We start from the raw sequence: 23,637 nt of genomic DNA on the forward strand, positions 1-23,637 counted from the left end.
TCTTGAACTCTCTCCAATGAATTCTTTCTGATGCTTTCAAATTAATTTTCTTGATATATAATAGTATGTCCCTAAATGTATTTTTCTGTCATTCCCTTGCTCAGATACCACCAGTGACTTCCTACTGCTTATATCAAGCCTAAATTCCTCTCTCCTTGTAAAAAGATTTGAATATTCTAAAAGTGACATATTTACCCCCTAAAGCAATAATTTCTCAGGTGCCTGTTATGTTCTGGGCCTGAGTTAAATCTTGAAAATTTTTTAGTGTGGAATTTGAGACTTAATTAGCATTTGATCCTAATCACCTTTCTACTCTTAGCCCCATCATTTCTGTCTCATAAATTCCACTCCATCTATGCATCTGCTCACTAATTCATTAAATTGACCTTGGCTTTCTTTTGCCTTCTTTATTTGTTGTTCCATTCCTCCACATAAAATATTATGTGCCCTGTTATTAACCAACCCCTTTTACCCCTTATTCCTTCACCCCCTAACTATATAAATCTTACGCATCTTTCTTGGTCCAACTCATAAACCCTGTACAGTGACTATTGTTCTTCTAGCATGTATTACTTTAAGATGTAACTGTATAATTCATTTGTTTGATCTTTCTTGTACTTATGCCTTCTTTCACCAATGCATAAGCTCCTTTTGAGATTTAGGTCTGAGTGTGACACCTTTCGATTGCCTTCATTACCTGGGCCAGTTCTTTGCACCCAGCAGAAACTTCATCATGATTGTCGAGTACACCTAGTGTCAGAGCATGTGCAAGATGTAATATTTCCACTTGCTGTTGGTGACACAAGTTGGTGTTACATAAGGCCTTCTTCATTTCTACCTTTCTTCAACTGAGAGTCACAAAGTTGTTGCCTTCCTTAAATGGATAAGACTCTCCACACAATAAAAACAGATGGTATTGTCAAATATAAATAGGTAAATATTATTTTTTGTGCATGGATGAGAGAGAAAAGACAGGAAAAAAACTACACTTGTAGTTTTCTTGGCACAGTCTTTTTGCCCTTCAAATTTGGTTGCTAAGAAATAACCATAGATTCATCTGCTGTGTATAAAGGAGAAACTTAGAGACTCTGTGTGTTGTGCAGCTGATTTTGTCACTCAGCTATGACAGAGCCCCACCCTGATTTAGAAGTCATGTGTCAAACTTCCAGATGGGGAGTATATCTTTTGTCTCCTGGAAAACCATTGAAACTCTGTTTCCAGAGGGCCCATGTTTCTCCTCTTTGCTAAGACCAAGTGAAGCTGCAGAATCCTGCTGAGTTATGAAGCCCGAAGCCAGCCTAATGTGGAGAAATGACCTGTCACCTTTTTTGGAATGTAGGCATTCTATGTGATTCATATTAGTTATTTGTGCGTTATTTTAGAAGAACCTTACTCTATCACTTCAGAGTGCCCAGAGCTGCCCTAACTTATTCTGAATGCTATGGCTGAGCTAAATTCGTCTTCTCTGCTGATGGGGCTCAAATGGAGTCTTTAGTCTCTGCTAAAGGATTCAGGAAGCCTTTCATGTCATGTAGAATTTGGGATGTAAATTGAAGGTAAGAAGGTATGAAGATTGTAAGATATTTTTGCAGTTTTTGCTTCCAAACAAGGAGGTCTAATTAAAACTCTTGTATCTGTTCAATTAATATTTAGTAGCAGCTTCTACAAGCTAAGCCCTGGGGTGCATTGATAAGCATGATACATGTAGACCAGACCTCAGAGAGAAATAAACCTTTAATCAAACAATTACTTATAGGTTTGTGATAAATGTTATGAATGGAAGGGATAGAGAACTACAGGAGCATGTTGTGAAGTGACCTGTCATCATGTCAAGGAGGTGTCCCTTAGGAAATAACTTTCTTAGTCATTGACTCAGGGCATCAGTGACTTAAACGACTGCCTTGTTTTGGCCTTGAAAGCAAGCTTGACCTTTTAAGTGAACTATCTGGCACTGTTTGAAATTGCATCAGCCAGTTGGAATAAGAATTCGCTCTCCTGTGAGACTTTTCTTATACAGCATCATGTTATGTGTGTAATAAAGTCATATTTGGCCTTTGCCCCCATGTCACATCACAGAGCCCCATTCCTGATAAGAGTGTCCTTTGTTATTCATAGCGAGCCCCTGTTAACCATACCTAAGTTTGTTCTAATGTGGTAACTCACTGTAGGCACCTGGGTAGCTTCAGGATGGGGCCTGGTCACCAGAGGATCTAACCATGTGATTCCAGCATTGGAACTTTTACGCCCACCATCAACTTCTGGAAAGGGGAGAGGGACTGGAGATTTTCAGTCACTAACGGCCAATGTTATTTAATCAATGATGCCTACATAATGAAATTTTCATAAAAACCCCTAAACAATGGAGTTCAGGTAGCTTCCAGGTTGGTGAACACATCGAAGTGCTGGGAGGGTGGTGAGGTTGGAAAGAGCAGAGAAGCTCCATCCTCCCACTGCCCTCAAATACCTTGCCTTTTACATCTCTTCCATTTGGCTGTTCCTGAGTTGTATCCTTTATAATAAATCAATAAAGGTAAGTAAAGTGTTTTCCTGAGTTCTATGAGTTACTCTAGTAAATTATCAAATTTGAAGAGAGCGTTATGGGAACCCCCAAATTTATAGTCAAGTCAAACAGAAGTACAGGCAGCCTGGATTCCTGGGACTTGTGATTGAGTTTGAAGCAGAGGCAGTCTTGTAGAATGGAGCCCTTAAACCTGTGGAGTCTGATGCTAACTCTGAGTAGTTAATGTCAGAATAGGATTGAATTTTAGGACACCCAGTTGGTGTTACAGGGAGTGATATCAGAAAAAAAGACATCTCACTCTGCATTTACCCTAAATGTAAACCAGACATTCTCCCTCTCCAGCTGAGGAGCAAATGGCAACCAGTGATTTTGACTACCAGCAGCCATTAACCAAGTTACAAATATGAAGCATTAATTTAACACCAAGGTAAAAATGGACATTTTACCTGAATCATAAGTGACATAAGAGCTTGCTCTTTCAAAACAGACTGGTTTCTTTCTGAATGCTCTTGCCCAATGCTTCATTCCCCACACCTTCCTCCATGGAAAATAGGAGCTGGAACAGATAAGCAGTGTTGGCTGACTGGAATCTTTTAAAAAGCCTTCTCTGGGTTGGGCAGTTAGGCGTGTGCACTCCATTGGCACAGTGAGCCAGAGATTGTGCGCATTCTGTTTTTGTCTTTTTCCAAATCCCCAGTTGACAGACATTAAGGGATCCATTATCATTCCATTATTGCAAGGCAGATTTGGAGAAGAATTTTCTACTGAGATGGTTGTTTTGTCACAGTGAAACAAATGAGTGACATTCTATGTTTGGGCCACATAGTTCTTCTGAACCCCTGGGCCTCAATGCCTTTTTTGAAGCGTTCTTTTTGACTTCACAGTAGGACCCAAATATGATGAAATGTCAATGTCTTTGCAACACTTGCTATTTTGTTTCCCTGGAACCACAGTGGCATAAATAAAGCTCACTTCCTGGGTTGTTTTTTTCAAAGATACCATCCCAAGGCCAAAAGCATCCTCTTTTTAAATCACTTTGCTAGTAAAAGAATTAGGTTTCTTTATAAGAGTTCTCTTTTGCATCTGTTTGCTACTGCAATGATTTCAGAGTGCTTCCATGATATTTATTTTACCACTAATATCAATTCTTGAGCCAGTGTGATTATCTGTATTTTAAAGCTGAGGAGATGGAGGCCTGTATTTAGTGAGTGATTTAAGCCCATGCAGATGATGGTGGAGGCAGGCCTGGGACTCAGTCCAGTGTTCATTTTCCACACTGCTGCCATGGAAAACCAGCCCCTGCTTCTCACTCTCACTAGTGCGAGGAGCGGAGAAACAAAATGAGACTGTACTCAGTCAGCAGCAGATACATAAAAGTTTCCTAATTTTTATTTATATGTTTTTCCTAATTTTTATTTATGTGTTTTTATGTTGTGTGTTCCCCTGCTACGGCTTGGGGAACATTGAAATTAGGAAATTTATACTTACCTAAAACAGCTCTAGAACATTTACACAGTAACAGATCAGCAAGTAGAGCAATTACTCTAACATGTGCAGGGTTGACTCTCACAGCAGTGACTGCTGCTGACCAGTAAGTCAAGAAAACTTCTGTAAAAATGCCTAGTATCTGTAAGCATAGACACCAGTGAAGTATAGATAGAAATAAAGCCAGAGACTTAAAAAAAAATCCCTTGCCATCACAGCAGGGTTCCAAACTGATTGGAATCCATGAGACAGGCAGCATGATAAAGCAAGAGGTGGCCATAGCTAACTGTGAGGCTGAGTGAGTGCCCACAGCGAGTCACAGGGTGAAGCATCCTGTTGTCATGTTTGCACTGTTGTCAAGTGATCAGTGATCACTGTGATCACAGAATTCATAATCCAGTCTGCCCTGCATTTTGGGGTCAAACTTAGCACTCCTGGGAAGGAAACAGCAAGAGCCAATAAAACAGAAAGCAAGAGAAGCTGGAGATCACCACTCTTTCCCCTCACTTCCCATTGGCAAGCCTCCCCAACCCTCCCTGAGACATCACTTTGTCTTTATAATAACAAAGCAACAAGTCAAGAGGTGACATGTTTTAGAAAGAGCTCTCTGACTGCAGTATGGAAATGGGACTAAGGAGGGCAAGAAAGGAGGCAATTTCAGAGTCGTCCAGCCCAAAGATGACATGGGCCCCATCCAAGACAGTGGTAGCAAGATTGTAGAAGGGGCTAGTTTAAGAGACCATTGGATTTGAGGGAATAGAGGAAGAGAAAGTTTCTGGGTTAGGTGCCTGCCTTAGTCTGTTTGTGCTGCTGTAACAAAACACCTAAAACTGGGTAATTTATAAGTAACGTAAATGTATTCCTCACAGCTCTGGAGACTGGAAGGTCCAAGATCAAGATACTACAGATTTGATTTCTGGACGTTGAACATGGTGTAGGAGTAGAAAAGCAACAGGGACGGAAGGAGAGAACTTACCCCTTCAAGCCCTTTTATAAGGCACTAAATCCCATCATTGAGGGCAGAGTCCTCATAGCCTAATCACCTCCTAAATGCTCCATTTCTTAATATTGTTGCACTGAGGATTAAGCTTCAACATGAATTCTGAAGAGGACACAAACATCCAAACCATAGCAGTCAATGCCTTAGCCCTTGATGTTGCTATCAACCTGAGATTCGGGGATCAAGGAAGGACAGGTATGATATCTAGGTGTGGGAGGAAACGGTAGATGCAGTTTGGGACATGCTGTTTGAGTTGCTTCCACACATCTCGGTATATAGCCAGGAAGATGTTGGGGAGATGATTCTGCAGCTTGGGGTTAGGGAGCTGGGCTCACCATATACACAGAGGTGGCGGATGAAACCTTAAGCATAATGCTCAGGATGTCACCCGAGCATAGCATATGTGTGAGTAGAGAAGCTACAGGCCCAAGACTGAACCCCAATGCTTAAGGGATAAGCTAGTATTAGGAACCTTCCATGGTCCTAATACCTTTTTATCTTCAGTTAAAATTAGTACTTCCTGCCGGGTGCGGTGGCTCATGCCTGTAATCCCAGCACTTTGGGAGGCCGAGGTGGGACAATTGCTTGTGTCCAGGAGTTTCAGCAACATTGTGAGACTCTGTCTCTACAAAAAAATTAAAAAATAGCTGGGTATGGTGGCGTGTGCCTGTAGTCCCAGCTACTCGGGAGGCTAAGGTGGGGTGCATTGAGCCATGACCGCAACACTGCACTCAGCTAAATGACAGAGTGAGACCCTGTCTCAAAAAAAAAAAAATATATATATATATACACACACACACACACACACACATATATGTACACACATACACACACCCACACACATTTTTGTGTATATGTGAGGCAGAGTGAGTGTCCATAGCAAGCCACATGGTGAAGCATCCTACTTATTTGTAAACATATAAATAAATTTTAAAAATTAATACTTCCATTATATGCTTGGCTTGATGACCTTTTCTTGCTATAACCAATTTTTAGTCGCTTTTTCAAAGAGACCAGTTTATGAGTTGACAATTGTAGACATTGTACTCCTTTTCTAAGGAAACCTACACCATTGTTTTTCCTGGTGTTCTAACTTTTAAACCCCTTCTCAATCCTCACCACTCCAGAGGAGTCTTTCAGACTAGATATTCCCTAGCTCCAATCACAGTTAATAAACTCATAGCATTGTGGGAAACTGGAAGTAGAGACTCTATCAATCATTTGTTCTCTCTAACATTACATGTAAGGAAAATTAGATTACGTGAGATGACAAGGCCAACATTATGCCGTCAGTAAGATGTAAAGTGAGGAGTAGAACGTGGGTTTCCTAACACCTAGTTGGGTATTCATTTGATCAGGTCATGCTGCCTTGTAGTGTTGATCCTTCCCTATATCTCAGTAATGGTTACTTTCCTTGATTTGAACATCTAATCACATTACTACATTCCCCTCATCCACCAATATAGTTCTGTGCAGAGGCAGAGCAGCTGTTTCTCTATTATTAACTCATATATAAGGCTTTAATATATCTATCTCATTTGGTATATCTTTTTTTTTTTAATACTTTAAGTTTTAGGGTAAATGTGCACATTGTGCAGGTTAGTTACATATGTATACATGTGCCATGCTGGTGTGCTGCACCCACTAACTCGTCATCTAGCATTAGGTATATCTCCCAATGCTATCCCTCCCCCCTTCCCCCACCCCACCACAGTCCCCAGAGTGTGATATTCCCCTTCCTGTGTCCATGTGATCTCATTGTTCAATTCCCACCTATGAGTGAGAATATGTGGTGTTTGGTTTTTTGATCTTGCGATAGTTTACTGAGAATGATGATTTCCAATTTCATCCATGTCCCTACAAAGGACATGAACTCATCATTTTTTATGGCTGCATAGTATTCCATGGTGTATATGTGCCACATTTTCTTAATCCAGTCTATCATTGTTGGACATTTGGCTTGGTTCCAAGTCTTTGCTATTGTGAATAATGCCGCAATAAACATACGTGTGCATGTGTCTTTATAGCAGCATGATTTATAGTCATTTGAGTATATACCCAGTAATGGGATGGCTGGGTCAAATGGTAATTCTAGTTCTAGATCCCTGAGGAATCGCCACACTGACTTCCACAATGGTTGAACTAGTTTACAGTCCCACCAACAGTGTAAAAGTGTTCCTATTTCTCCACATCCTCTCCAGCACCTGTTGTTTCCTGACTTTTTAATGATCGCCATTCTAACTGGTGTGAGATGGTATCTCATAGTGGTTTTGATTTGCATTTCTCTGATGGCCAGTGATGATGAGCATTTTTTCATGTGTTTTTTGGCTGCATAAAGGTCTTCTTTTGAGAAGTGTCTGTTCATGTCCTTCGCCCACTTTTTGATGGGGTTGTTTGTTTTTTTCTTGTAAATTTGTTTGAGTTCACTGTAGATTCTGGATATTAGCCCTTTGTCAGATGAGTAGGTTGCGAAAATTTTCTCCCATGTTGTAGGTTGCCTGTTCACTCTGATGGTAGTTTCTTTTGCTGTGCAGAAGCTCTTTAGTTTAATTAGATCCCATTTGTCAATTTTGTCTTTTGTTGCCATTGCTTTTGGTGTTTTAGACATGAAGTCCTTGCCCATGCCTATGTCCTGAATGGTAATGCCTAGGTTTTCTTCTAGGGTTTTTATGGTTTTAGGTCTAACGTTTAAATCTTTAATCCATCTTGAATTGATTTTTGTATAAGGTGTAAGGAAGGGATCCAGTTTCAGCTTCCTACATATGGCTAGCCAGTTTTCCCAGCACCATTTATTAAATAGGGAATCCTTTCCCCATTGCTTGTTTTTCTCAGGTTTGTCAAAGATCAGATAGTTGTAGGTATGCGGCGTTATTTCTGAGGGCTCTGTTCTGTTCCATTGATCTATATCTCTGTTTTGGTACCAGTACCATGCTGTTTTGGTTACTGTAGCCTTGTAGTATAGTTTGAAGTCAGGTAGTGTGATTCCTCCAGCTTTGTTCTTTTGGCTTAGGATTGACTTGGCAATGCGGGCTCTTTTTTGGTTCCATATGAACTTTATCTTTTAATATGTTTGTCTCCTTTTATATGCCTTTATCCACTCGTGCTTTAGGTGAGCAGTTCGACCCCACATATCCAGAGACTATGGAAGTAACAAGGCAATCATGCAAAAATGAGTTTATTACGAAAGTCTCAGGGATATGTGGATGGATGGATGGATTGATCTATTTATTTCACATAGGCACCCAGTAAGTGTGTCTGCTATCACTAAGGCCAAGGATTGCTATTACTGTCTTATAACCACCTCCCAAAACACACACACACACACACACACACACACACACCCTCTGCATTACCACCACCCATCCTCCCACTTTCTTATCTTTTCCTTTTCTTCCCTGCCTTTACCTACCCTATTATTGCCGTCCTTGATGCCTTCTGGTGGATTGACCTCTTAACAGAAGATTAACAGGAGGATCAAATACTTTGCATATCCATTAAATTATTAGTGAATTTTGTAAACATGTGGGAGCTTCAATTGTTATTTTAGGAAAAAAAATCTCCCATATTCAGTTACCTTGATAGTCACCAGAAGATTTTTTAAATTTCTTAACTTCATATATTGCTATTTATCCTTTTTTTTTTCTTTCCGAGACTTGGTCTCACTCTGTCACCCAGGCTGGAGCTCAGTGGTGTGCAGTCTCGGCTCACTGCAGCCTCGACCTCCTGAACTCAAGCAGTCCTGTCTCATCCCCCTGAGTAGCTGGGAGTACAGGCAGGCGCCACTATGCCCAGCTAATTTTTAAATTTGTTGTAGAGACATGATCTTGCCTTGTTGCCCAAGCTAGTCTCAAACTCCTGGGCTCAAGTATCTTCCCATCTTGAGCTCCTAAAGTGCTGGGATTACAGGCATGAGCCACCTTGCCTGACCATATTGCTATTTAGTAAAGAAGACCTAAACATTTTCTAGACAAATTTGGGGGATCACATTCTCTCTCCCACCCAAATCAGGATGTTTTCCCACCCAGGGAAGGATGTACCCTTCCTCTGGCTATCTAGCATGTCAACCTTAAGTATTTAGCAGGCAGGCAGGATGGAAGAATTCAAAGTAACAAACAAAATTGATAATTAAATATTTAGTAGTTATTATGGTAACCTATGAATTATGAACAAAGCAAATTCAACACATTAAAATTATATTTTTTGTGTTGGTATGTTTTCTAGTATATTGAGACCAACAATATATTTAATTTGTGTAACTCATTTATATTCATTTTAAAGCAATAAGAACAGTTTTCCTGTTTTACATGAGTATAGATTTTTTGTGGTTTTATATATATATATGTAACAAAATTTACTTTTTAAACTATTTTAAGTAATTTTTCCTTTTTTAAGTATTTTAACTATTTTTAATTCTGTGGCATTAAGTTCATTTATATTGTTGTACAACCATGATTATAGATTTTAAGTCGTGACCCTCTGCTTGGGTGACAGTCATATCAGACCTGTCTGCAGCATAAATCTTGACTGGGATTATAGACATTGCATCAAAAAGTAGAGGTTACCGGCACAGGTTAACTTTTTAAAAACATTGCATCAAGGTATATTAAAGGCTTCACAACACTTTGCCTTCCTTATGGGCCACACAATAAATTATTAAGGAAAGTTACATTTCTTTTCACGACACTTTCTAGTAATGAGTCTTGTGATATATGGTGAGAACTGGCATGGAAATCACAACTTAGGTGGAAAACCAAACCTCCTAATATGTAATCTGGTATTTGTTTATAGGATCATACTTTAAAGGCAACCTTTAAAGGATTAATTTTAGATAAAGTTACTACTATGTTAATAAATAATCATGTTTAGTGCTTACATTGTACCTGCTGCTGTGCTAAGCATTTGAATTGTAGTTGTCTCAATTAATTCTTAAAACAACTCCATTAGGTTGAAACCATTATTATGGTTATTATCCCTATTTTACAGATGAGAAAAGGGATACTCAGCTTATCTAAGATCAAGCAGATGGTAAACAACAAAGTCAAAACTCAATCTTAACTATTCTGCTTCCTTCCCTTCCAAGTCTCTCACATTTTCATCAGTTTTAGGATAAGAACTAGGCCTAACAAAGTAACACATTGAAAACATGTGATACTCCTTTTTAAAGTCTTTCAAAAAGAAGGTCATATATGGGTAATATGGTTTTGATTTATTTTAACCACATTGTAATCGGTATGTCTGGAAGAAAAGCCATGTAAAACACTGTTATTTAACTACAGATTAAACTTGAGTTATTCATCTTGTTATTAAATTGTTGGTAAATGTTTCTTCATAAGAGGCTGTGCAAGCAGGATGTACCCTTGCTCTGGCTATCTATCATGTCGACTTTAATTATTTAATAGGCAGCCAGGGTGGAGGAAGCACTTGTTGGTTCTGTTTCACTAGATGGAATACTGAGCAATGAGCTAGGAAAACAAAATAGATCTCATTTTTAAATTGTCTCTTTTAGTTTTTCTAAAAGATAGATTGTAGCTTTGAAAAAAGGAGAGAGCTGTCACATTCTATATAAAACTCCTTTTTATATAGCTCCTTGGAGAGGCTGTGTAGCAGATGGCTCTTAGTCAGCTCTGTTGTGAATGCTGGGTCTGCTTATGAACTTGAGCAAGTTTGTTTCTCTGAACCTCAACTTTTTCACGTTTAGAGTTGGCTAATAATATCTACTTCACCAGGTACACAGTAAGTGTTATCCTTCCCCTAACTCTATCACTCCTTTCCATTCAACAGATAATTATTGAGACTGTTAGTGTCAGGTTCTTCCTGCACACCCGACTCTTCTGAGAGCTCAAAGGCTGAGGCAGGAAGGCATCAAATCAGATATTGGTGATACAGTTTAATGGAAGCATAATAGAACTATCAGTATTCCCTAAATGCTAAAGAAGCATGAAGGACTAACTACTTGTTTAGGGGGACAAGTAGGGTAGCAGTGTTTGTTTTAAACATCTTTTGTGTTTAATAGTCACTTAAATACTGAACATTAAATGTTTGTATTTGGTGGTCAGAAATTAGCTCAAGCACTAGGCTGATTTGCAGTGCATGACAATTTGATTTTGTCTTTGGGTTAAGAGTGTGTTATAGCAGATGTAGCATTATTTACGGTGATCATTATCAGACGTTATTGGTTTTATGAGACTAAAGCTATCTAAGGACGTGCAATATTGTCAGCTCAATCATAGCTCACAGCATTGTGGAATTAGAACATTTATGAAGCACCTAATATGTGGTAGGCTCTCAGGAGACTAGAAAGGTCTTTGCCCTCCAGAGTTCAGGACAAGTGGGCACAGAATGGTTTGATGTGCAGCATGCTTGTTTGGATGATACCTTGATAATCCCATTGGTACCAGTATAGTTCTTGTTGCATTATACTAAGGTTAACTTGTGGAAAAGGGAATGATTGTGAAATCATAATTTGATAAGATATTAAGGTCATTTTGGAATGCTGTGGCATTTATCCAGTGTCCAACACTGATTCAAAATGACTCTCAGTCATTATAATGCACCAGTCATGCTGAATTTGACAGCAGTTCCCCATTCAGATTTGTAAAACATCCCATTTGGTGAGTAAGTTGGCAAATATAAATTTTTCTCCTTTCTCCCTGAAGGATGAAGACTTAGCCTCTGCTTCTGAATTTCTGCCCCTGCCATGGGGTGATGGAAATGCCTGAGGCTCTGTCGCTGTCATTTGCTTTGCCACCCTTCCATACCCACCATGTGTTTGCACCAGTGGTGTTCACAGATCTTTCTGAAAGCCAGGCCTTCTCCTCTGTACCCTTGGTTCCTAAATGGGTGGTGAAACCTGATCTGCTGTCCTTCATTTACTCAACAATGATTTACTAAATATTCATGGCACAGAGAGGGACAAGACTGACACGGGAGTGGGCTCATCACCGATCACTCTGAGCTCTGGGCAGGCTAAGGATTTGATGCCACTTCACACTGGTATTCACTAAATATTTGTTCGCCGTGTTTTTAAGTGGAGTAGTGAAGCACTGTATCGAAAAAGAGTAGCAAAAGAGCCCTCTGGGTCCGCCTTTTGCCAGTTTCTGACCCGAAGGAAATAGACTCATGATATTTTCTTCCATCCACATTCAATACCATCCTTGAGAAAGGTTCAGTAGGTACTATTTTTGTTTAATCTAGTTAAGTTTCCAGAGATCTAAATACCCCATTGATGAATCCATACGTAGTAGCTGCTATAATATATAGGACCTTAAGCTAACCCATGAAAGAGACATTGGGATACATCCTGGGATGCCAATAAATGAGATACTGCCCCAGCCCTCAAAGAATCGCAGGCAATAGCTTCACATATATTAATAAACAATGTAAAAGAAATATTAGTAAATGACTTCCTGGAACGCAGATGAAGGAGCAACAAATTCAGCCTGTGCTGGTCTGGATGGCTCATAGAGGTGATTCCACTTGATCCAGAATGGGACAGATGATGCAGTGGGATGTTCTTTTTTTAAATCCATCTGTTATTTATGATTTTGAATTTTTCAAACTGATGAAATGGGAGACTTTAATTTTACATAGTAAAGCCTTAAACTTATACAATTGCCCGAGGCAGGGTGAATGAGTATGATATTCCAGTGATTCCTGCCATAGCTGTCCTGCCAAACAAGATCCCAGTGACTATGCCTTTAACCCAGTTCAAGTCCTTTGACCAGAGATTCTTGATATCTTGCTAGATCTTTCCTAAGATTTAACTATCCCTACAAGACAAATATACCCAAATGGAAAACCAGGCTCAAATTCCAAAATTGTATAATAGTTCTTTGTGCACTACAAAAAAGTTTGTTTTGTCAAATCCACCATCTCTCCTGACAAGAAAGAAACAAGAACATCAAGAGTAAGATCCTTTGGGGCTTTTTGTTTTTCTATCAGAAAGCTGATTGCTGCTGTGTTGTTCCTTAATCCTCAGTCACTTGGGAGCCGTTCCTTATATGTCCTTGGTTGGGAGCCTTCCTTTCAGGAGGAAGCTCTTATTTGAGAAAGAAGAGAATTCTCAGTGTTACACTTATCTCCAAATCTTCCAGAATACCCTTTTATTTTTAGGTTATCTTGGAATTGACTTTTTAAGTTAAAATACACCCGTCTTGTGTCCTTCCTCTGGAGAGAGAATGTTTTTGAAGGGGTAGATTAGCTAGTTGTGTAACACTCATTAGCATAGCAAACTGGTGGACGTGCTGACGCAGGCCGCCTGCCTCAGCAGCTGGGTCGGTCAGAATTGCTTTAACAATCTTTGTCCTCTTTTTATCCTGCCTAATATGGACTATTTATGCTATTCTAAGAAGCATTGTCATTTAGTATTTCTCATTTCATTCTTCCAACTTGGTACTTTTATGTTTTGCTAAGGAGGAAGAAAGGTGATAAGTTTAGTTACAGTTTCTAAAATTGGTTTGAATGATTTGGTTTTATCCTGAATAAAGAAACTCCGCTATATTTTGTTATTTACTTTACTTGACAGCAGTGGCTTCACCCTAAGATGACAAATTGTCATTATGAGAGAGCTGTCATTTATATCTTCTCAGCAAAATACTCCTCTGGTTTAGGTAAATGTTAAATAGGAGAGAGGAATGAAATGCATTAGTAAATATGCTGAAAAATGTTCAATTCAACTCAAAGAAATGCCAAATAAAGCAACAATAAGATCATTTTTCACATATGGATTAGCAATTTTTTTAAATAATGATTTTTAAATCTGGTGAGGTGCTACTCATACATTGTTGACAGGAAAGAAAATTGGTATAAACTTTCTGAGAAATAATTTGATGCTGTATATCAGAGGGCTCAAAATGTTTATGCTCTTTTGACCTAATTCCTTCATTTTTGAAGTATATGCAAAAAAAACATATGAAGAGTACTGAGATGTTTACAACATTATTAGTAATAAAAAAAGGAAAATTGAAAATTTAGTAGGGGAATGACTTCATAAACTAGGACATATCCATGTGTGAACTATATGTTTCCATCAAAAATGATGCTTAAAGAAACTTCATAGCAGTATCAAAAAAGCCTGTGATATATAAGTGGCAAAAAAAGGTCTCAGTATTGTGCCATTGAATTTTACAATGGCATAATTGTATAAAACGAGTAGGTCAGCAAAAATTAAAAACTGGACAAAGAAAACTGTCCCAAATGTTAAGTCTTTCACGTTTCCCCTATTTAAGAAGCATAGATACTTTCAGTTTGTTTTTCCGTCTTACATTTGTAAAATCAGTGGTACTCATATATAATGCTATCTTATTCTCCATTAAAAATTCAATGTTTATGTTTTGTGCCTTATAAGCTACTGTTGTGATGAAGTAAAATGTGTAGTTTGTGACAGTGATTTGTTTCTCTCCCTAGGTAATAGTTAACCTCTTCTGTGAGAAGTCAGAAGGTGATCTCTTTAATGCTTTCTTTTTAAGTAAGTTATCTTTTGTATGTTTCATAAAATTATTACATATGTTGGAAATTTTAGAACCATATCAGTGGATAAATTATCTTGCAGTCCTATGATGCGTAAAATATAATAATATGCTTGTGATTTCTCCTTAGGAATTTTTCAAATTGAGACTAATTGCAGAGGTTCCAGTTGACCAGCATTCATAGGGTAAGATTAACATCCTGAATTGTAAACACATGGTAAAGATAATTACAATTAAGTTGGTAGCTTGGGGCAAATAAATACTGAATACTTAGTATGTAAAAGAGATTACTGTTCTTACAGATGTTTTGAGTAAAATCTTTCTGAGGTTTTTAAACTAGTTAATAAACAGAAAATTACATCTGTATACCTTTTAGTAAAAATGTCATCTTCCTACTTTTTGTGGATTTTGTATGCAGGAAAATATATGTGTATATGATATTTGTCATTTTTTAACAGTAAAATCTAAGGAATATAATAAATGGCCATGGCAGACTTGGAGTCCATGTCTGTATTTTTCTGATTTTTGTTTAAGGTAGGATTTTTAATGCTACCATGGATTTGGTTTTAATGCTACCATAGATTTGGTTTGCATACTTCTATTAAGTAAAAGATGGCCATACTTTCTTTGAGTAGGCAAGCCAGAAATAAACAAGCCCTATACTCTGTTGCTTTCTGCAAACATCATTCTTCTTTTGTAATTGCAGAAGATTAATTTTAAGTTAGATTGTAGCAGTGCTTTTAGCTTTGACACAATGAATGAAGAATTTGTACACTGTATTAAATAGCACAACTCTCTGATGTTCTGAATACAGCTTAAAAGTGTCACCCAGCTCTGAACATATAGTCTAGGTGAATCAGTGGTGAAGACAGGGGGTCTGTCACCTACTACATTCTAAACATCCTTTTTTTACAGATGAAGGTGAAGATCCTTTGACTTCTTAGGTATATTCACATTTCCATTCTGACTCTTTGAGTTAACTATAAATTTTTTTTAATTTTATAATTTCAACTTTTATTTTAGATTTGGATATACATGATCAGATTTGTTATAAGGGTATATTGCATGACACTGATGTTGGGAGTAAGGATGATCCTGTCACCCAGGTAGTGAGCATAGTGTACAATAGGAAAACTTTCAGCCCTTGCCTCCCTCCCTTCCTTTCTGCTTTTGGAGTCCCCAGTGTCTGTTGTTCCCATCTTTATATCTATGTGTACCCAATGCTTTGCTCCCACTTATAAGTGAAAAAATGTATTTAGTTTTCTGTTTCCGCTTTAGCTCACATAGGCTAAGGGCCTCCAGCTTCATCCAGGTTGCTGCAAAGAACATGATTTCATTATTTTTTATGGCTATGTAGTATTCCATGGTGTATACGTATCATATTTTCTATGTTTTTCTTTATCTTTTTTTTAACTTTTAAGTTCGGAGGTACATGTGCAAGTTTGCTACATAGGTATATTTGTGTCATGGGGGTTTGTGGTACATATTATTTTATCAACCAGGGATTAAGCTGAGTTCCCATTAGTTATTTTCCCTGGTCCTCTTTCTTCTCCCACCCTCCACCCTTTGATAGGCCCCAGTATGTGTTGTTACCCTCTATGTGTCCATGTGTTCTCATCATTTAGCCCCTACTTATAAGTAAGAACATGTGGCTTGCAGAACATTTGGTTTTCTGTTCCTGCATTAGTTTGCTAAGGATAATGGCCTCTAGCTCCATCCATGTCCCTTCAAAGGACATGATACCATTCTTTTTTATGGCTGCATGGTATTCCATGGTGTATATGTACCACATTTTCTTTATCCAGTCTATCACTGATGGGCATTTAGGTTGATTCCATGTCTTTGCTATTGTGAATAATGCTGCAATGAATATACACATGCATGTGCCTTTATAATAAAATGATTTATATGCCTTTGGGTATGTGCCCAGTAATGCGATGGCTGGGTTGAATGGCGTTTCTGTCTTTAGGTCTTTGAGGTATTGCCACATTGTCTTCTACAATGGTTGAACTAATTTACACTCTCACCAACAGTGTATAAGCATTCCTTTTTCTCCACAACCTCGCCAGCATCTCTTTTTTGACTTTTTAATAGTATCCTTTCTGGCTGGTGTGAGATGGTGTCTCATTGTGGTTTTGATTTGCATTTCTCTAATGATCAGTGATGCTGATCATTTTTTCATATGCTTCTTGGCCATGTGTATGTCTTCTTTTGAGTAATGTCTGTTCATGTCCTTTGCCCACTTTTTTATGGGGTTGTTTTTTCTTGTAAATTTGTTTAAGTTCCTTAAGATGCTGGATATTAGACCTTAGTCAGATGCATAGTTTGCAAAATTTTTTTCGCATTCTGTAGGTTGTCTGTTTACTCTGTTGATAGCTTCTTTTGCTGTGCAGAAGCTCTTTAGTTTAATTAGATCCATTTGTCAATTTTTGCTTTTGTTCCAATTGCTTTTGGCATCTTCATTATGAAATCTTTGCCCATGCTTATTGTCCTGAATGGTATTGCCTAGGTTGTCTTCCAGGGTTTTTATAATTTGGGGTTTTTATAATTTGGCCTTTAATCCATTTTGAGTTCGTTTTTGTATATGGTGTGAGGAAGGGGTCCAGTTTTAATCTTCTGTATATGGCTAGCCAGTTATCCGAGCACCATTTATCAAATAGGGAATCCTTTTCCCATTGCTTGTTTCTGTGTTGTTGAAGATCAGATAGTTGTAGGTATGCAGTCTTATTTCTGGGTTCTCTATTCTGTGCCATTGGTCTATGTGTCCGCTTTGTACCAGTACCATGCTATTTTTGGTTATTGTAGCCCTGTAGTATAGTTTGAAGTTTAGCAATGTGATGCCTCCAGCTTTGTTCCTTTTGCTTAGCATTGCCTTGGCTGTGCAGGTTCTTTTTTTGGTTCCATGTGAGTTTTAAAATAGTTTTTTCTAGTTCTGTGAAGAATTTCAATGGTAGTTTAATAGGAATAGCATTGAATCTATACATATATTGCTTTGAGCAATATGGACATTTTTAATGATACAGATTCTTCTTATCCATGACCATGGAATGTTTTTCCATTTCTTTTGTGTCATCTCCAATTTCTTTGAGCAATGGTTTGTAGTTCTCCCTAGTTATCTGTATTCCTAGGTATTTTATTCTTTTTGTGCCAGTTGTAAATGGGAGTTTGTCCCTGATTTGGCTCTCAACGTGACTGTTGTTGGTGTATAGGAATGCTAGTGATTTTCATACATTGATTTCGTATCTGGAGACTTTGCTGAAGTTACCAGCTTAAGAAGCTTTTGGGCTGAGACTGTGGGGTTTTCTAGATATAAAACCACGACATCACAAACAGGGATACTTTGATTTCCTCTTTTCCTATTTGGGTGCACTTTCTTTCTCTTGCCTGATTGCCCGGCAAAGACTTCAATACTATGTTGAACAGGAGTGGTGAGAGAGGGGATTATTGTTGTGTGCTGGTTTTCTTTCTTTCTTTTTTTTTTCTTTTTTGCTAAGGAATGTTTTACTTCCAATTATGTGATCAATTTTAGAGTTTGTACCATGTGGCAATGGCATTGAGAAGAATGTATATTCTGTTGTTTTGGTTGGATAGTTCTGTAGATATCTATCAGGTCCATTTGATTCAGTGCTGAGTTTAGGTCCTGAATATCTTTGTCAATTTTCTGTCTCAATGATCTGTCTAATATTGTCAGTGGGGTGTTAAAGTCTCCTACTATTTTTGATTGGGAGTCTAAGTCTCTTTAAGGTCTCTAAGAACTTGCTTTATGAATCTGGGTGTTCCTATGCTTATGAAGCTTCATTTGGCCAGATATGAAATTCTGGGTTAAAATTTCTTTTCTTTAAGAATGTTGAATATTGACCCCTAATGTCTTCTGGCTGGTAGGGTTTCAGCTGAGAGGTTCGCTATTAGTCTGAAGGGCTTTTCATTGTAGGCGACCTGACCTTTCTGTCTAGCTGCCTATTTAACATTTTGTCTTTCATTTCAACCTTAGATAATCTGTTGATTATGTGTCTTGGGGATGATCTCCTTGTGAAGTATCTTACTGAGGTTCTCTGCACTTCCTGAATTTGAATGTTGGCCTCTCTAGCTAGATTGGGGAAGTTTTCATGGATGATACCCTGAAATATGTTTTCCAGGTTGGTTCCATTCTCCCCATCTCTTTCAGGTAAACCAATCAGCTATAGATTCAGTCTTTTTATATAATCCCATATTTCTTGGAGGCTTTGTTCATTCAGAAAGGCCATCTTCCAACTTTGAGATTCTTTCGTCCACTTGGTCTCTGCTGTCTGCCTGTCATTTGAAAGGTGAGAGTGTGATTCAGAAGGGACTACATAGGGAGTGGGTTTTGTTCTACGTATTATGGCTTGCTTACTGTGGTGTTGGGGGGTGGTCAGGAAAATAGTCTTATAAACAGCAAAAGGTGATGGAGAAGGATTTGAGGTTGCCTTCTATTTACACCTTCTCTGTAAGAATTATCCAGCAACTAGTGGCTTATGCTTGTGTTAATATTACAAGAATATGGCTGCAACTTCTTTTATTTTAAATAGATTTTAGAAAATATGGTAGCTTACTAAAAACTTCAAAGAATTGAGAGATCTTTTCCTAAAGAGAAAAATATTATCTACATTAAATATATGATGTATTCTATAACTGCCAGAAATAAGTAAAAATGAAGCAATATTCCTTAAAGTTTAGGATAACTCAAATGTCGGCCAGGCACGGTGGTTCACGCCTGTAATCCCAGCACTTTGGGAGGCTGAGGTGGGCGGATCACGAGGTCAGGAGATCGAGACCATCCTAGCTAACATGGTGAAAACCCATCTCTACTAAAAATACAAAAAATTAGCCGGGCGTGGTGGCAGGCACCTGTAGTCCCAGCTACTCAGGAGGCTGAGGCAGGAGAAGGGTGTGAACCTGGGAGGCGGAGCTTGCAGTGAACCAAGATCGCGCCACTGCACTCCAGCCTGAGCACAGAGCAAGACTCCGTCTCAAAAAAAGAAAAAAAAAAAAAGAACAACTCAGATGTCATTAGGATTTCTAGAATTTTTCCATGGTTTTAATTCACTCAGTAACTTTTTTATTTAATTTATTACTTACTATTTATAATTATTTATTTTATTTCATTTATTCAATAACTTTCTCCAAGGGCTTCTGATGACTAGGGTGATTTTCCTAATGTTTAGAGTATTCATCAAATTGTTTCCCAGACCCATTATCTTACTACAGTTTTGGGTCAGAAGCTCTGGAATGGCAGTTGTATGTCTCTCTTCTCCTTTGGTTTCTGTGTATTATTTTATGATGATGTCAGCTTCTTTCCTTGAATTCTGATTTTTGTGTTCCAGAAATACTGTGCTTCTCCTTTACCTCACTGATCCTGCTTCTCTATCCTTTTTCAATCTTCCTTATCTAATAAACCTTCCTTATCTATTTTATAGAGGGGACAGCAATTCTGTCCTTCACTCACTAAATTCTTTCTCTCAGATAATTCATTTCTGTGGCACTGACCACCACTTAAGTGTTCATGACTTCCTACGGTGGGCTAAACATGGCTGCTAAGGCCTAGCAACTCTGCCTATCAAGAGGTGGAGTTGATATCCCCACCCTTGGAATCTGGCTGGCTGTGGTAGGTTTTTTGATCAATAGAATGTGGCAGAAATGGTGTGGAGTAATTTCCAAGGCTGGGCCTTAAGAGACTTGTAGCATCTGCTTTTGTGTGCTTGAAACATTCCTCTTAGATCTTAGTCTCTTGCTATGAGGAAGCCCAATTAGCCATATAGAGGACTGGCAAGGCCCCTGGTCGACAGCCGAAGCTGGGCTCCCAGCCAGCAATCAGTAGAAGCACCAGTGTTGTGACTTGAGGCACTTTGGGCCTTCTGAGTATTCTAGCATTCCAGCCCTCACCATGTGAACTGCCAGATCATCCCATAGAATCATGAGAAATTATGAATTGTTACTTTAGCCACTAAGTTTTGATGTGACTTGTTACACAGAATAAAGAATCAAAACAAAAATTGGTACCTAGAAGTGAGATGCTGGCATAACAAAAATCTGGCATTTTGGCTTTGAGACCAGGTGTCAGTGAAGGCCTGAAGGGCAGTTAGAATACTATTGCTATTGGAGGATGTCAAATGGTACCCTTGTTTTATATTGAGAAAAAAGTCAGCAAGACCATGACCTACAGTAACATGGAACATAGAAAATGAACCTAATGAACTTGTGGATCTAGCTCAGGAGATTTTCCAGCAAAATATCAGAAGCTCTGAGTGACCCCTTTAACTCCTTTTTTAACTCCCCTTTTTTTTTGATACTGTGATCAAAGTATTTCAAGAAAGAGACTAATTAAAGAAGAAACTATTTTAATTTTAAGCAGACTTTAGAGGAAGTATTTCCAATCCTGAATTTTCTCAGATTGTAAATCCGACTGTTTCTCATCCCCAGCTCCTCTACCCAGCAAAAGACCAGTTCCTCTACCCAGCAAAAGATACTCAAAGAAAGAAGTGGCCTCAGGTCCAAAGATCAGATCCAGAACATTACTGCCAGTAAAACTTGGGCTCAAAGTGAAAATAAAAGCAAAGGCATAGCTGTAAGACCCTTCGTTAAAACGTCAAAAAGATTGAAGGCAGTGCCTCATAGAACCTCTCAGCTAGACGGAAGGGCTTCTAATAATTTCAAGGGTCTTGTCCCACAGCATTCTGGAACTGATTTAGATGACAAGATCCTGGACTTCAAGCCTGAATTTGATGCCATAAGGGGATGAAGTTTTTGGGGGGCTTGGGAAAGGGTTTAGTGTGCTTTCCATGTAAGAGGAATGTAAATCATTTCTGGCCAGAGAGTAGACTGTGGTGGACTAAGCATGGCTGCAGACTCTTTGCCACTCCTCCTATTGAAAGATAGAGTCCACTTCCCTTCCCCTTGAATCTGGACTGGCCTTGTGACTCCTTTGGCCAGTAGATTTTGGTGGATGTGTCACTGTGTAGCTTCAAGCCTATGCCTTAAAAGAGCTGTAGCTTTCACTTTTATGCTTGGAATGTTGTCTTAGAACCCACCCACCATGCTATGTGAGGACACTCGAAGAGCCACATGGAGTCTCACATGAAGGAGTTACCAGCCAGCAGTTAGCACCAACTACCAGCCTAAGGAATGAGGACATTTTGTACCTTCCAACCATCTGGAAGGTGTGCCAGCCAACACTATGAAGTAAAAAAACCTCCCACAGAATCTCAAGAAATAAAACCTTTTCTTAAGCCATTAAGGCTTGGAATATGCAGAACAGTTAGCAAAAACTCTTCCATCTCTATTGTTGCTGAGTTCTTGCCTCTTCCTAGGAAAGGCTCTATCACCCTGAATACACCCTAAAAGTTTGAATGGTTAGGGGATCTTTTTCATTTTTGTACATTTAATTATTACATAAATATTTATTGTGCCCCATGTGCTGGAAACTATGTAAGATACTATCATATCATAGGATCAAAATCTGAATCCACTTGACTCCTGCCTCTCCGTGGACCTCTTTATCTGATGTTGCTAGGTGGTACTGAATTTTAATTTCCCTTGACTATTTTATTCTTTGCTTTCTTTTTAAACATATTGTAAACTTTAGCCTTATTATTCTATTATAAAGTATTGAGTTTAAGAGAAAATGTATTCCCATTCCCGTGCCTGACAAAGACATGTTTTAAAGTACACATTAAACAAAAGAAAACTGCTTTTCAATTACTAAATGCAGTGCTCAGTAGGACAGAAAACGTACTGCTTCTCTTAAATGCTAGACCTTTAAAACATTTGCTGGATGACAGCACTATTGAAATAGCCTTTCAGCTGCTCCCTTTGTTTCTAATCCCTCTCCCATAATCCATCCTGCATCTCTCCATAGCTCAGTGATTCACTGTTCTACTGCTTCACGTTCCTGAGCCTCTAAAGGATTCATGTGGAGATGGTAGCTGTTACTTTGTAGTCTGTAGAGGGGAGAGAGCATCCTAGAAGTCTAGTGCAACTTCCAAGAAGACTTAAAAGACAGGCACTTTTCTCAGACAGTTTATTGTCTATCTTGTACGCTTTCTCCTCCTGGGGAGATTTGGGGGAAAAAAAAAATCTGGCCTCTCCTAGACCAATTGACTTGCTCTTTGGGAGTAAGGCCTGGGTTTACGTTTCTTTTAAAAGTGCCCCAAGAGGTTCTAAGGTGAAGCTGAGATTGAGAATCACTGTCTTAGGTTTGTGATTCTTGAAAAGTGGTCCTTGGACCAGCAGCATCAACATGAACTAGGAATTTGTTAGCAATGCAATTCTTGAGACCTACTTCCTACCTTACAAATTGGCAACTCTGAGGGATGGACTAATCACTTCATGTTTTAATAAGCTCTTGGTGATTTTTATGTACATTAATGTTAGAGAACCACTATTAGAAAAATCTTTCTTTCTAGGTCTCAAAACTACGACTGAGTTTGGGAAGCATGTTTGTTATTTGAAAATCACTGTACTAACAAGATTTGAAAGAACTACAAAGGGACATAAGGAAACTAGTATATCAAATGTTATTGCCGGTGATCATTTAAGCACTTGAAATATGTTTAATGCTTGTCATTAAATCTCTCAAGAATGGTGAAATGAGTTACTTAGCATAAAGAAAAGGGGCATATTAATCAGAGATACTGATGCATTGTTTCCTAGAGAGAGAACTCAACAAAAGGCGAATTTAAATTTCAGTTAGATATATGTTAGTCCCAAGAAACATCTTAATGGGAAGTAGCACTAAACATTTTGAAGGGATATAAGGTGATTTTTAAATCAATTTTCAATGAGAGTAGTGTAGAGAACCGCTATTTGGAATTGTTCGGCTATAATCCCTGCCTGGGGTCAGAGACAGATCTTTGAAGTAGCGTCCTCTTCTCAGTATATAATGACACTAAATACCATCTGATCATCATTTGTTTATTTTTTCACTTGTTATTTTAGAAATGCTTTCAAAGTAAAATAAGGACTACTGGGAAGTAAAGATGCCTAACTTGAATGTTGATGTTACAGTCTTAGAGACTTTGGAGTAAGATTGTCAAGTGAATTCATGTGTTTTGAAAAAGCTTTTATGACTTCTTAATGAGGTTTAAAAGCTGAAATAATGGGATTAGAACCGTAAAATCCATTACTCTTAACATTTCTTTGGATTGATT

General features: G+C 38.4%; 1 protein-coding gene across 4 annotated transcripts in view; it reads left to right on the forward strand.

The window, feature by feature from the left end:
* Window positions 1-23,637, forward strand: part of LRRC8B (leucine rich repeat containing 8 VRAC subunit B) — a 73,033-nt gene that overhangs the window by 29,007 nt on the left and 20,389 nt on the right. For 3 of the 4 annotated variants that reach the window (NM_001134476.2, NM_001369819.2, NM_001369817.2), the window contains 2 exons: window positions 14,412-14,472; window positions 14,604-14,658. The gene's annotated coding sequence lies outside the window, so the exon portion shown is untranslated. Of the gene's footprint in view, window positions 1-4,875; window positions 5,202-14,411; window positions 14,473-14,603; window positions 14,659-23,637 lie in introns of all 4 variants that reach the window. The other variant, NM_015350.4, reaches the window with a different exon arrangement.

Source organism: Homo sapiens, chromosome 1 (genome assembly GCF_000001405.40).
Source record: "Homo sapiens chromosome 1, GRCh38.p14 Primary Assembly".
Classification (NCBI taxonomy): domain Eukaryota; kingdom Metazoa; phylum Chordata; class Mammalia; order Primates; family Hominidae; genus Homo; species Homo sapiens.